The following is a 16411-nucleotide window of genomic DNA, read 5'->3' as shown; positions in this document are numbered from 1 at the left end:
TGGACAAATATATGTATCTTACATAACTTCCACCTGGGAAGTTAATCTTGCATAGCTTTAGGGAACCAATTTCTGTTCTCAGAATGAAGTGGGTGGAGATATGAAAGAGGTAAAAAACATACTCGTCTCTTTGGTCATAATTTATCCTGGAGGTGGCATACTATTCAGAACAAGTATAGAAGAAACAAAACTCTCTTCATAAATTGTGTGTTGCATAGAATTAATTGAAAAATAGTATCCCATAAAACCTATCACCTATAGTGTAAACTAAGTGAAAAGTTGCTGGAAATTATTATTGATTAGTTTAAAATACATGTGGATTTTTTAATGCTCAAATGCTTTATTCTTTGAAAAACTAAATAATATGAAAATATGTAAAATACAGGTATCTCAACATTGAGGTTGTTGAAACATACTGTTCTCTAAACTTAAAAGACCAGCATAAGATATCCTATTTCTTTGCTGGAACTTAAGTTTCTTGGTCATAGAAACCAGTTTTGTGAAACAAGGGAAATATAGCAGATGGCAAGGCCACAGCTCAGAAAAGGAAAAAAAAAAAAAAATCATCCCTTCTGGTTTAGATAATCCCTAGAGTGTTGGTTTTGGAATAAGACAAGTTTCCTATAGCAGTACCTTAAAAAGAAGAATGAGGTTTTGTGGTTGGAATTTATGACTAGAAGTGAGGAATCTTGGGCTATAATTTTGATTGCACCATTTTCTCATTGTCTCATGGAGCAGTAAAGCAGCACTGATTAATAAATAAAAATTGACCAGCTGTTTCTAGGATTCTGTGAAAAGCACACTAAGCAAATATGCATTGTGACCTGAAGCATTTAAAATATTATTCAACTCTCAGATATCAAAAAATGAAACATAGGGGATATTTTTGCTTGTCTGAAAATGTGTGTAAAATCCTGCAAAAACCAAAGTGACTGTCCCCATTTTTTTTCCCACAAGGATGAGAGCATAATATTGAATTGGGTAGAATTATCTTCTCAAAATACAGCATATAAATCTTTCTTTGGATTACTATGTCACATTTTCTCTTTCCCTTGAACTTTTATATGGTGGGAAAGAATTCCCTAAGAGTTCAGTAGAAACATTACAATACTAAACATCCATCCATGAATACCTATTATACATAGGAAGTGAGGTCAAGGTAATAACAGTTACAAACTAAGCAATAGCAGCATCTGACCTTTGGAAATATGAGCTTATATCAGAAGGATTGCTTGAAAGCCACATATCTCCTCTACCCGTTGACCCCCAAAAAGAAACACCCTAAGTCAATGAAATGCTGGATGTGAATCCATATGATGAAGAAAGGGGAACCAGTAATGTGCTGACCCTGTGTGAGGCAGTGTTGCTAGAAGAAAGGGGAGAACGAGTCTTTGAACACGAAGACAATGACCTGAATCTCAGAGCTTTAAATGAGACATTGTTCGGTCTTGTCTTAGATATGTCACATGAGTATTTGCAATAACATTTGACTTGTCACAGAAAAAGTAAGAAACACAAGAAATGAAATACCATTCTGTTTATATGTCTAATATAGAAATAAAATGTTAATCATATTATATGATTTTGGTCCACATGTTTTGTCTCACTAGTTTAAGTTGTTTGTGTCATGATATTCATTTCATCTAAACCATTTTCTTTACATTTTATGAATAAAAACATATACTTTTTGCCACAATTAAGCACTAGAAAAAAAGTAGTGTCTTTATGAAATTTCATTCTGGGTCTTTATTGCTTTTCAGTTTCATTTAAAGAGAGCCAATACACACATAGTTGATGAATCAGATGAGAGAAAATCACAGCAGGCACTGTTTAATTTCTACTGGGAGGCCCTGGCCATCCTCTGTGGGGATTAATGTTTCAGAGCAGGTACACATTCTTGTCCTAAAACAAATGACTTCAGTGTTATAGCTAGTACCCACATGTTTATGCATCTTAATACTTTAAATGTTACCTGATTACAGTGTATGGGATTCTAAATATATACCAAAGAAAATTAAAGGGAATAGATGTGTATATTTAATAATGTATTATGGTCCCGGTTTCCTAATCTCCTGGGGAAAAAAATGTAAGTTTTAAAACAGGTAGCATGGTAAACCAGCTTTACAGTAGATCTGAACTGCAGATGGGTTACTTTTTACAAGTTCAAAGAACTCCAGTGAAGACTAAAATAAAAAAAAAAAATTAAAGTGCCCAGCCTGTTTTTGATGAGAGTTTGACATTTATTACTTCCTTTGGCTTTTCTTTTCTTTAAAAAAAATCTTGTGTGATTTAGGAGGACCAAACCTTTAGCTGCTATAGAGTCAGAAATTAAGTTAGTCAGAAAATAATATTCCCTTGTTACCATTTGATTCATGGAACATTGTGGAGACACTCTCTTTCTCCAAATGATTTTTGGCAGTTCTCTAAATCCCCTTTTCAACCATCGAAGCTGTCTATGTCTGGAATACCTATGCCGTGAGAAAACTCAAAAGAGAAAAAAAAAGAAGAGCAACAATATAATATATTAGTCTTTTGGATTCTGGTTTCTCCAGCATCCATTATTGCTTCACCAGTGAAGAGAAAATTCATCAGATAGTCAAACTGCAAGAAGTAATGCTTGGCCATCACAATCAAGTTTCCACTCAGAGAGAAAAGTCATTATAGGGTTTAGAATACTTTGTATTTATGTCTCATAAACAAGTTTAAAAATAACACCAAAAAAGGATGTTAACCATATGTCGTCTCACAGTTTGTGACTAAAGGGGATAAAGTTACCAGAGTTTCTTCAAGCCCTTTGAACTTGAAAGCCAGTATGCATTTTCCATCCCGTTGTACATTATGATAAACAGTAACCCCTTCATTGCTACCCTGGAGTGTGTTGTAAGCTCCCTTTGTTCAGCAAACTCAGTATATCACATCATTTTTATTACAGTGGTTTACTAGACTACTTTCAGACAGATGCTAAAATTCACTAGGCTTTTGTTTTCCTTATTTGCCTTTTTTTAAAACAGTATTTTTAGATAAAATAATGATTGAAATAATGGCTTTAAAAATGTCCAAAGGATCTCTAAGTCTCAGAGCAGTTGTAATGCACTTCAATAGAGCTTTAAGAATATATTTCCCTTGTTCAAAGATAAATGAGTTAGAGACAAATCATTACTTTTAAATAATGATGTAACTTTAAGTATCATAGGATATATAGTACATCTATAGGTACTACATTCACTTCACAAATTCACATACCACTTATTGACTACTAGGTATGTTAAAGCAACACTTTTCCACCTACTGTAGCATGTCATTTCTTGTGGAAGATAGTCATGTTCATATTCTTCTCTGCATTATGTATGTATTTAAGCAGGTATGGGACTGTAAATGCACACAATCAAACATACAGAGACTTAAGTGCTATTGACACCTTTACATCATCTCTGTCACCTCCGTCAATCACATCGTCTTCAGAAAACTCCAGATGCTAATTATATATTATATTTTATTCTTGTGCTTGGGGAAAGGATTATAAATCTCTAGATATTCAATAAATCTGAATTAAAAAGTGATAGACGCAGGATTGTTTTATCTGCCATCATAATAAAGAGGACATTAACATTTTAAAAGTCTTGCCTGTTTTTTCAGTTGGCAATTGTTTAAAGGATCAGAAAAAAAAAATCAGTGCCGAGTGTTTCTGTTTTTATTTTTGGAAGTGATTTTGGTATGCCTACTAATCTATATGCCATTTTTCTCATTACCAATCAGCTCTCATAATGAGGCTGATAATGAATGTGACCTTAGCATAAAACCATAAGACTTTTGCAATCAATGGAAATATGACAAGAACACAGAGACATCCGCCCCTGAAGTTTTCTAGGTTAGACCAAAGAAAAGGGAGAATGTAGACTCCAGAAATACTCACCAAAGACTATCCATTTGAGTAATTCTTCAGGTTTCAGATTTCAACAGAGTTGCTGTGGGTAACAGATGTGTTCCTGTCCATTTCCAGTTGGAATTCTACAATCTTTGTGAAGGGGTCAAGGTTTGGTTTGAAAGAAGTCTGGCTATGAAAGAGTGTTGCCTTTGGGGGAGATAGTCTGGATGGAAATCCTGGATGAAGACAATCTCAATTATTTATGTTTCAGTTTAGAGAGATATAAAATGGAAGTAGGAGAACAGCAAATTTACAGAATAGCTGTGAAGATAACAGAGATAATATATACGCAGCTATCAAAAGAATGCCTGTATTGTGATCAGTGCTCAATAAAAAATTAACTGATATTTCTGTTTGCTATGGTGTTTTTGATAAATTCAACTTTGAACCAAGGCCTGCCAATGGACAAGGACTCATACATATAGCCAGGTATGTAATGTCCCCGAGTGCTTCACTCCATGATGACAATCTACTTTCTACTTCCAAAGCTTTGGAGCCTCATCTTACTTCTGTCTGCTTTTCACTTGAACCTTTTCCCCAGCAGTCAAAAACTAGAACTTGAAAAGACTCACATTCTTCTTAAATGAAGTACATGCCAAATTTTATTTCATTAAAATTTGAGGAAGTCAATTGCAAATAATACTTCATTAACTTCATATAAATGTCTTTTGGTTCATATGTGTAGGCCATCAAATAGGTCAAGCAGTTTATAAAAGCAGACAAAAATAGACAAAACCAATCCATGATTATAAAAGTCAGAGTATGGATAATGATTAGGTGTACAAAGCAAGGGTTATAGGTAATTCCATATCTTGACTGGGTGGTGATTACACAGAAAGTCCATTTTGTAAATATGTGCCAATTAGCAGTTAAAATATGTGTACTTTATAATCATTATACTGTAGTAAAACTGCTTAAATTTTTAAAGAAGAGGTGTCAAGAACTAAGGATTTTCATGAAATGTACAATATTTAGAATTCCCATTGGAATATTATGCGTCATTGTCCTCTGATTTTAATTCTCAGGGAATTTGCTAAGCCACCGCAGATCAACTCGGGTACAAACACGTATACTTTTAGATCATAGCACTCAGCTCTATCTCTTCATTCTGCTTCCTAGTGAGTTTCACTCACATTCAAATCATTTCCTGTAATTTGCTGAAAACTTTAGCAACCCAACTCAAGTTTTTGTTTTGTTTTGTTTTGTTTTTCCCATGCAAAACCTAACAGCTATCTTAAGGAAATGCAATGTCTTTATTTTTGCTCAGATGACAACCTGCCCTTTCAGTTCCTTGACCTCATCTCCACTTGATTCAACCTAAGTAACCAAATCCCAATAGTCACATCTGGCCCTTGTTGTCATCATGAGAAGTTTAGAATAAAAGACTGAGATGATTAAATCTCTCACAGCCTCCTTCTTTCCAGTTCTCTCTTTCAGATGTTTGAGGACAGCAGTTCAAGATTTTGTCTCATTCACACATTTGATAGCTTGATCTCTCTGTTTTCTCAATTGTCATCATTTTTGTCATTTCCTTTCTATCCTCCTTGTAATTCACTATCATGTTAATATTTTATTTATCTAAGTTAATCAAGCTCTTGCATCTTTCTGCCAAACCCCAATTTGGGATCATTTGTACTAGTCTAGCATCTCCGTGCTTCCACCAGAACTACTGGAGAAAATCACAGAACAATGAAAGTTGGTAATGGTACACATTCATGATGACCAGCAGCAACCAGGTCCTAATGCTGCCCAGAGATTCTTAGTTGTGTCAACTTCCTCTCTGCAATTCTCCACAGAAGTCATTTCCAGGTATCTTTATCTTTCTCTCTTACAGCATTTGCCCTCCTCTATCCCTCCTTCCAAGATATAATTTAACTTCTTACTGCAATGGAGAAAGTATTAACCATCAGATGAGAAGAACCACCCCAACTTTGCACCCCCTGTATTAAATATAAAGCATGTATATTATATGCATATATATGGAATACATACATTATGCATCCATATCTAACATAATGGATACTATATATACGTAAATATATAACATAAAATATATATCCATGTCTTGTACACATTTTATCTCTACAAAACTGACCTCATTAAAGTTGCAAATAGCAAGTAACTGGGCCACTTAATCTAATAGACACATTGTGACCCTTAACACAATTTTTTTTTTTTTGGACTCTCCATCAGGCTAGAGAATCCATATAAGCTGAGGCTAGATCTGTCTTGCTACTCATATATTTCCAAACCCTTCAAGGTAGATGCCCAGGAAATGCTTACTGTGTGATTTAATTAATGTTATAAAAAAGTTACATAGCTCTTAACCAGGCCTTTGTAGAAAGCATGATTCTAAGTAACTTCAGGACTGGGCTCCTTGGCTCATGCCCGTAATCTCTGCACTTTGGGAGGCTGAGGCAGGTGGATCACTTGAGATCAGGAGTTTGAGACCAGCCTAGCCAACGTGGTGAAACCCTGTCTCTACTAAAAATACAAAAATTGGCCAATGTGGTGGCACACGCCTGTAGTCCCAGCTACTCGGCAGGCTGAGGCAGGAGAATCACTTGAACCCAGGAGGTGGTAGTTGCAGTGAGCTGATATCTTGCCACTGCACTCCAGCCTGGGCGACAGAGTGAGACTCTGTCTCAAAAAAATAAAATAAAATAAAAATAAAGATAAGTAACTTCAGCACAAAAGTATACATCCACAAAGCCTTTAGATCCAAGTTCTCTTAGAAACTTTATTAAAAATTACACTTCGCATTTTAAAATAAATTGATAATTTTATATATACAATTTCTGTAAATAGATGAGAGAGTGAAATAACATGTTTTATATCATCCATATATTTTTATTCTTCACTATATAGCGGAAGCTTTTAATATTCATGTCATCCTGAATGACTGTATAGGTAACAATTTGTTTTCCTGATTTATATATGGGGAAATTTGGTTTTCAATAAATGATAAATGTCTTTCAAGCATTGGGAAAATATCTTAGGTAAGCAGTAATTTTTATGACAGGTTCATAACTGATGAAGGAGACTTCACTTTCAACAATGGCTCTGTTACATGTAGCCCATTTTGCTGTGTGTGCTATAGCAGACTCAATACCACATCTGGAAAAATTCTTTCTTTCTGTGTTATTGCGTGGTTTGCCTTTATATGGAGGTCAGTACCCTTCTATTTGACTACGAATTGTTTTCTCATCTTTCTTCTTTCAGAAGTGACTGTCAATTCTATTTCCACATGACTGACTGTTAAATTATGTGATGCTACACTTCAGCAATACCATAGAATGATGCCCACCAGGTAACAATTAAGTGGTCTGACACTGATCTTACTCCTCCTGAACACTTACCAAAGTCTCTGCAGGGAACAATGACATTCAGGGAAGAGGATTGCTGGGAGGATGTACTTTCTATCCACTCTAGCAGTTACTCAGAAGAGTCCATTGCTGGATTCGGATGAGTATTCAAATTTACATCATTTTGACCTCAGGTAGAATTACTTTTTTGGAATTACAGGACATTTTAAAAGCCATATTATTCTTGTGGTTTTATTTATTATAAGAATAATTCCCCCTCCAAATTCTCTAGTCTCAATAAGTATATGTTCTCCGCAATTGTTTTCTTTTTATTTTGTGAACGCTGAATCACATTAGTGATTATATTAATCCTCATTCTTTAATCAGTAGCTCACATGAGTAGGAAAAGAAGGTCTAGGTTCTCTTGTTCTTGGTTAATCAGAAAAGAGCTTCTAAATTTTGTAAGAATTCTACAGATTCAGTGACCCAGGAAATCCTACCAGTCACTCTCAGGATAAAACAAACGGCTTTTGCTGCTTAGGAGAAGCTCAGTATGTGGTGAGGCTGGATGAGTCACATAATAATAAGTTTTATGTAAAGAGTGCTAGGGCGGTCACTAACTGTGTAGCTTGGTTTCTGTGGGACACCCACTCCATGAATAGCCTTTCAAGATATAAAGGAATATAGTTTTCTTGAGTCAGCCTTCTGGCTCAAAGACAATCTCTCTGTCTTCACTTTAGCATGGATGTCCTCACTTAAGAATAAATGAGAACCTGCTGCTTATGCTGGAGTTAGTTCTTCTGACCATGTGTACTGGCTTCAAGTCCTCCTGTCCACTTGGAAGCACACTCTTGGCTAACAATCATGTAAATCAGCTCTCCTGGCTCCTAACCTCCTGGAATTCCTCAATCGGAAATTCCAGCCCAGCTGCTCTCTTGATCACTTCCAAAACATAGTACCTTGGATCAACAAATGACATTTTTCATTTTAACCAATGCTTCTGAAAACACGATATTGAACCAGAATGTTGATATCATTAAAGTTAGTCAGTCGCATAGAACAAAGAAATTAATGGTGTCATTAAACCATAGATATGTTGAAATTTGACATACCTTTCTTTTGTTACATAAATGGCAAAAATGCAATGGTTATATTTGAACCTATTTATACTTTGAAATTTTAAAGATAAGAGAAACCCTTAGTAAGAGTAAGCTCTGTGAATTTCATCGCTACTGTCTCATCTCCATTTAATAAGAAAAAATTGACTCTTGAGGAGATTATCTGCGTGCTGGACATACGCATACTTTGTCAAATTGAATAGAAAACAAAAGCAAGAAACTGGTATTTAATAATTGACAAGTAAAAGTTGAGGCCTAATAGATTTTTTTAAGCAAATGATGAAATCAGAATAAAATTCCATAACTGTATTTTAAAAATAACCTATTGATAGAGGTAACCACTTGAAGAAACTTTCCATTACATAGAAATAGTGATGTGTCAATTTATATTGAATTATGAAAACAGATTAAAGTTAAATGTAAAGTGCCAAGCTTGTCTTAGCATTAAAAAAAATTACATTGGCTTGTGGCCAAAATATTTGCCTCCCAAATGTCATCCTTAGAACAATTTTTTAAACACACTGTGATTGCCTCTCCCTCCTCTCAACTCCCAGCAGGCTAAAGCAGACCTCACATGGTCCCACACAGATGTAGACAGAGAAACTGCTCATTATCAATCAATGAACACAAACAAGTTGAAGACTGCTCAGCTCCCCCTGCTAAAGGTAAAGAGGTTTAAAGCCCCCAGTGAGTTTATTATTCTGGGACTGAGATCGTCAAAGTCATTTGATTTTGACTTGCACAGTAGCCACAAAGGTTAAATTGAGGTTAAGTTTCCCAAACAAAATGGAAGCAATTAAACAGTTAAATGTTACTTTTTTTTTCTTTTTTTGGTTTGGTTTTAAACCACAGATGAAAAAAAAAAATATTAATGTAACCAAAATGTAAATTTTTATATATCTCTAAGTAATAAAGTGATACATAAGAAATTGTGTTTTATGCCTAATTATATGTTTCTATACATTAATTTTTCAAAAGAAATCACACACCAGTATAGTTTATATATCCCCAGCAAGTAACTGATTATAAGATTTTCTCTTTGCAATATGATGTCTGAAGACTTCAGAAGTCTATAATTTTGGATTAGAGAGGAAAGAAATCAGGCTTGTTGAAATGTGGTAATAATATTTCATACGTTTGAGCAGAGTCAATTAGAAAGAATACCAGTCTCAGAGTAAAAAAAAAAAAACAGGATGCAACTGCTTCCCCTTCCTTAGAGCATTATGCAAGCACAGCCTATTTTATTTTATGTAAATAATTTTCTTATTTTTTACCTCACTTGACTTCTGAAATAATTGTATAAGGCAGAGAGGTACTTGACAATTTTTTTTTTTTTTAGAAAGGAATCTCAGGAAGATGATGTAACTTGCCCAAGATGACATATTTAGTGTTTTAAGAGTTGGAACCAGACTCAAATGCACTGCTAATTCCACATATTACATGACATAAGACCTGGAATCATGGTTCTTTTCAGTATCATATAGTATTTGGTTTTATCTCTTTAAAAACAGGTGGCATTCCTAATGAATACATTTTTAGCACTATAAACAATAGTTGATATATTATTTACTGAAACTTGTGTATATGAAAAATATATCTTAACCCATCACCATGGGGAACAGGAAAGCCAGATGTGTTTATTTTACCTGCATGTATTGGCAAAAAGAAGTTAAATATGTATATATCTATATATATGTAGATGATAGATAGATAGATAGATAGATAGATAGATAGATAGATAGATAGATAGATGATAGACAGAGAGAGAGAGAGAGACTGTGACCAGCACAAATCTCCTCCTTACTAATTTCCTTTCCATCTTGGTCTCAATTGCTATTCTCAAAACAAATTCTATCTACTGGAAGTTAATCTAAAAGTGTTTCAGTGTGGGTAAATACAAGTAGAGGGGCGGGTTTGAAGAATGACCCTTTAGAGATACTTTAGATTCTGGGCAATCTCCAGATACAGTAGCTAAGGCAGGAACATGGCTCACTTGAGGAGCCAGAGGACTGGCAATCCAGCAGAGTTCAGAGAAGCACTTTATTCTTCTGAAACAGGGAAGCGAAAAGTTGAACTGCATGAAATATTGCATATGATTTGCCAAGCCTAGATACACCCATGACTCTCATTCCTCATGAGGTTAGAACTTGTTCATAGACATCTAGTCAAATGTAGCCTTCCATTGACCCAGATCATGCCATGAGGGAAGATGCAGTCTCTGAGGAGCAGTAAGTTTCCTGTTCCTTGAAGCCTCACACTCCCTCATAGTGGGAACGCTGGGCTATTATGTCTTAAGGAACGTTTTTGTAGTCTCTCCTAGGTACAGACCCTCCTAAAACTTACTGCGTAATTTTAAAAAGAGAGAGAGGGAGGGAGGGAGGGAGGATCAGAGAGAGAGAGATCAAAGAGTGGAGTTGTTTTAGGAGATATGCTTAGAGAAAACCTTTTAACACTATAGACAATCACTGACGTGCTGTTTATTGAAACGTGTCTGAAAAAAATATTTTAACTCATAGATAATAGAGCTAAAAAAAAAGCAGTGTTTATCACTAGGCAGAATAGAGACATATTGTAGAGGAACATAAATGTGTATCTGCTGACTCTCACAAAAAGACATGTGAATGCTCAGTTTATGATGAAATTATTTGCTTGACCACATGCCACAGCCTCCAAGCAAAAGGTTTTTTCCCAGTTCCCTTTTGCTGTGAAGTATTTGCATGCCGGGCATATAGCACATGCACAGGAGGGCTGCAGAAAGTACTTGTGCTTAATTTGTCAGAGTGGCATGGTCAAGAATTTGAAGTACCTTAAAAAAATCCATTTTAATAATTTTCCCTCAAATACATTATTAACAGCCACTTTAAAGGACAAGCTAAAAGTTATTTGAAGAGAAAGCGGAGAATTGAGGGAAAATATCAACATGGGGAAACTATCTTTAAATATATATTTTAAGTATTCATTATGTTTGTCATTTACTGGAAAGGAGACCACATATGCCGGTTTTTATATTGAAGCAATAAAGGAAGATAGTATGAATGATTATTTATGTATGCATTTATTTATCGGATGGTGACAAGGGAATGACTTCTTTATACTGCCCAACACAAAGCAGAATTATTCATGTTGAAAATATAAACATAATATATAAACTATAAAAGAGCCTAGGTAGTCAATTCATGCAGATGTAATCCAGAAGGTAAATCATGCTTAAAGGACCTTGAAGAAATAATTTAAACTTATCACATATTTTACCTTCTAAACACTGAGTCATCACTGTCTGTAGTTTTTTAAGTTCTTCTAAGACTCATACTTTCAGGGCAGTAGTACTCTCACACACCCTTCTGGACAACTACCAACAGTTACCAGGTGGTGAGTGTTCACTGGGGTAAGGGGAGTTACTATGGTTTACGCACTCTCCAGTGGATCATTGAGTTTATTAAATGAATTTTAGAAGCAAAAACAGCTATTTATTCTACATCTTGCAGATAATTTCCTTTTCTTCTTCTTCCTTTGTCTGCCTGGCCAGTCAAAATGTTTTGCTGTAAATATTGGGAAGTTATGTTACTCTTTATTGGCTTAACCCTTCTTAACCAAAGGTTTTATTTTCTTTAAAATTTTAATATCATTTTTCCCAATTACATATGTTATCCATACCAACTTTATTATAACTGTTAACTAGAAACAGACAGAGAGGGAGCCTACTTTTTATATTGTCATTTTTTCAATTTTTCTAAAAACTAGAAAATATGATGGACTAGAACCAAATATGACAATATGTTAATCTTGATGTTGAATACATGGATGTGTGCTATACATATTCTGTGAAGTGGAAGTAGTTATGTTTTAAAAATTTGTAAAGCTAATAAAACTTCATTATAAAACCACTGGAGATTAAAAATAAGAAAACTAATTCACCTACATAACTGCCATGCAGAATTAGCTATTACAAAAATCGGATAAGTCTTTCTGTGCTTGCTTTTTAAATGTACCTTCTCATAATTCTTCTTGGTTTGTTTTACTGCCACAAATTTCTATATACTGATATCAAATATCAATCTGATATTTTACTTTTTCCTTAGGCTTTTAGATTTCACCACTAAAAACATTTTTGATGGCATTAATGACACTTAAAAACCATAATTTATAATCATGTCATCCCTTTGTATTACATTATATCATTTTGTAATAATTATAAATATATTCTCATATTGTTAAGCTCTTGCTTTTATTTCAATCATTTTCTACTATAAATAGCTCTGTGAAAAATAACCTTGTATAAATCATTCTGATGACTCCCTTAAGACTAATTTTTAAAAGTTAAATTACAGAGCCAAAAACACACACTTATAGTTCCTTGTACATGTATACATATCAAGCTATTTTCTAGGATGATATAGTTTGTCCTCCCATGAGAAGAGGATGCTAGTATTCAAATTTTATACTCCCATCTATACTGAAAAAAAAAGAGAGTTTGAGAATTTTGACAAATTAGTAGCAATTATTAGTTCATTTGCATTTATATGATTACTTTTCATTTTGGATATATAATATACATGTATATTTTATCTGTTGAATTTCTTATTTCAGAGATTGTGTAACTATATATAACCTCTGTCTTATTTTAATTTGGGGGTGTTAGTCATTTTTTATATATTGAAATTATTAATCCTTTTTAATGTCTTTAGCAAAACCATATGAACAGTTTATATTTCATTTTATTTTTGACATACGTAAGTTTAAGATTTTATGTTGTCAAGTGCATTTTTAAACCACTTTTCCATTGGTTTTATGCTTGGAAAGTCCTTGTTTTAATTTTCTGGCGCAGCTGTAACAAATTACTACAAACTTAATGACTTAAAACAACGAAATTGTATTCCTGGGCAGGATAGCCTAATAGGAACAGTTCCCATCAGCAGCTCCCAGCAAGACCAACACAGAAGGCGGGTGATTTCTGCATTTCCAACTGAGTGTAAACAAAGCCACCAGGAAGTTCAGACTGGGCGGAGCCCACTGCAATGCTGCAAATCCTGCTGTAGCCAGACTGCCTCTCTGGATTCCTCCCACCCCGGGCAGGGCATTTCTGAAAGAAAGGCAGCAGCCCCAGTCAGGGGTTTACAGATAAAACTCCCATCTCCCTGGGACAGAGCACCTGGGGAAAGGGGCGGCTATGGGCACAGCTGTAGCTGACTTAAACATTCCTGCCTGCCTGCTCTGAAGAAAGCAGCAGATCTCCCAGCACAGTGCTTGAGCTCTGCTAAGGGATGGACCACCTCCTCAAGTCGGTCCCTGACCCCCATGCCTCCTGACTGAGAGATACCTCCCAGCAGGGGTCAACAGACACCTCATATGGTAGAACTCCAGCTGGCATCTTGTGGGTGTCCCTCTGGGACAAAGTTTCCAGGGGAAGGAACAAGCAGCAATCTTTGCTGTTCTGCAGCCTCCACTGGTGCTACCCAGGCAAACAGGGTCTGGAGTGGACCTCCAGCAAATTCTAGCAGACCTGCAGCAGAGGGGCCTGACTATTAGAAGAAAAACTAACAAGCAGAAGGTGGGTAATAATGAACTCCTCTGAGCTAAAGAAGCATGTTCTAACCCAATGCAAGGAAGCTAAGAAACTTGAAAAAAGGTTAGAGGAATTGCTAACTAGAATAACCAGTTTAGAGAAGAACATAAATGACCTGATGGAGCCGAAAAACACAGCACGATAACTTCATGAAGCATACACAAGTATCAATAGCCAAATTGATCAAGTAGAAGAAAGGATATCAGAGATTGAAGATCAACTTAATGAAATAAAGTGTGAAGACAAGATTAGAGAAAAAAGAATGAAAAGGAACGAACAAAGCCTCCAAGAAATATGGGATTATGTGAAAAGATCAAAGCTGTATTTGATTGGTGTACCTGAAACTGATGGGGAGAATGGAACCAAGTTGGAAAACACTCTTCAGGATATTTATCCAGGAGAACTTCCCCATCCTAGCAATACAGGCCAACATTCAAATTCAAGAAATACAGCGAGCACCACAAAGATATTCCTCGAGAAGAGCAATCTCAAGACACATAATCGTCAGATTCACCAAGGATGAAATGAAGGAAAAAAATGGTAAGGGAAGCCAGAGAGAAAGGTCGGGTTACCCACGAAGGGAAGCCCATCAGACTAACAGTGGATCTCTCTGCAGAAACCCTAGGATCCAGAAGAAAGTGAGGGCCAATATTCAACATTCTTGAAGCAAAGAATTTTCAACCCAGAATTTCATATCCAACCAAACTAAGCTTCATAAACAAAGGAGAAATACAATCCTTTACAGACTAGCAAATGCTGAAAGAAGAAAATCACCATCAGGCCTGTCTTACAAGAGCTCCTGAAGGAAGCACTAAATATGGAAAGGAAAAACTGGTAACAGCCACTAAAAAAACACAAAATTGTAAAGACTATCAAGGCTATGAAGGAACTGCATCAACTAATGGGCAAAATAACCACCTAGCATAATGATGACAGGATTAAATTCACACGTAACAATATTAACTTTAAATGTAAACGTGCTAAATGCCCCAATTAAAAGACACAGACTGGAAATTGTATAAGGAGTTAAGTCCCATCCGTGTGCTCTATTTAAGACACCCATCTCATGTGCACAGACACACATAGACTCAAAATAAAGGGATGGAGGAATATTTACCAAGCAAATGGAAAGCAAAAACAGCAGGGGTTGCAATCTTAGTCTCTGATAAAACAGACTTTAAACGAACAAAGAACAAAAAAGACAAAGACGGGCATTATATAGTGGTAAAGGGATCATGCAACAAGAAGAGCTAACTATCCTAAATATATATGCACCCAATACAGGAGCACCCAGACTCATAAAGCAAGTTCTTAGAGACCTACAAAGAGACTTAGACTCCTACACAATAATAGTGGGAGACTTTAACACCCTACTGTCAATATTAGATCAATGAGACAGAAAATTAACAAGGATATTCAGGACTTGAACTCAGCTCTGGACCAAGGGGACCTATAGACAGCTACAGGACTCTCCACCCCAAATCAACAGAATATACATTCTTCTCAGCACCACATCACATTTATTCTAAAATTGACTACATTATTGGAAGTAAAACACTCCTCAGCAAATGCAAAAGAACAGAAATCATAACAGTCTCTCAGACCGCAGTGTAAACAAATTAGAACTCAGGATTAAGAAACTCACTCAAAACCACACAACTACATGGAAACTGAACAACCTGCTCCTGAATGGCTACTGGGTAAATAAAGAAATTAAGGCAGAAATAAATAAGTTCTTTGAAACCAATGACAACAAAGACACAAGGTGCCAGAATATCTGGGACACAGCTAAAGCAGTGTTTAGAGGGAAATTTATAGCACTAAATGCCCACAGGAGAATGGAAGCAAGAACACAAATTCAAAAGCTAGCAGAAGACAAGAAATAACTACAATCAGAGCAGAACTGAAGGAGATAGAGACATGAAAACCCCTTCACAAAAAAAATCAATGAATCCAGAAGCTGGTTTTTTGCAAAGATTAACAAAATAGACAGACCACTAGGCAAACTAATAAAGAAGAAGAGAGAGAAGAATCAAATAGACACAATAAAAAATGATAAAGGGGAGATCACCACTGATCCCACAGAAATACAAACTATCATCAGAGAATACTGTAAACACCTCTACGCAAATAAACTAGAAAGTCTAGAAGAAATGGATAAATTCCTGGACAAATACACCCACCCAAGACTAAACCAGGAAGAAGTCGAATCCCTGAATGGACCAATAACAAGTTCTGAAACTCAGGCAGTAATTAATAGCCTACCAACAAAAATTCCCGGGACCAGACAGATTCACAGCCGAATTCTACCAGAGTTACAAAGAGCAGCTGGTACCATTCATTGTGAAACTACTCCAAGCAATAGAAAAAGAGGAACTCCTCCTTAACTCAGTTTATGAGGCCAGCATCATCCTGATACCAAAACCTGGCAGAGACACAACAAAAAAAGAAAATTTCAGGCCAATATCCCTGATGAACATCGATATGAAAATCTTCAATA

General features: G+C 35.6%; 1 protein-coding gene across 2 annotated transcripts in view, besides 1 other annotated feature; it reads left to right on the top strand.

Moving 5' to 3' along the window:
* Positions 1 to 16411, top strand: part of SEMA3A (semaphorin 3A) — a 536949-nt gene that overhangs the window by 233257 nt on the left and 287281 nt on the right. The gene's annotated exons all lie outside the window — the stretch shown is intronic.
* Positions 7455 to 8654: an enhancer, noted in NCBI's record as "CDK7 strongly-dependent group 2 enhancer chr7:83880131-83881330 (GRCh37/hg19 assembly coordinates)". NCBI's record gives its function as "activates an origin of replication core promoter dependent on BRD2, BRD4, P300/CBP, MED14 and CDK7 cofactors, with strong dependence on CDK7, by STARR-seq in HCT116 cells {active_cell/tissue: HCT116}" and the evidence as "EXISTENCE:reporter gene assay evidence [ECO:0000049][PMID:35650434]".

Source organism: Homo sapiens, chromosome 7 (assembly GCF_000001405.40).
Source record: "Homo sapiens chromosome 7, GRCh38.p14 Primary Assembly".
NCBI classification, from domain to species: Eukaryota; Metazoa; Chordata; class Mammalia; order Primates; family Hominidae; genus Homo; species Homo sapiens.
The sequence above is the reverse complement of the archived record's forward strand: the minus strand, read 5'-3'. Positions and strand labels throughout refer to the sequence as shown.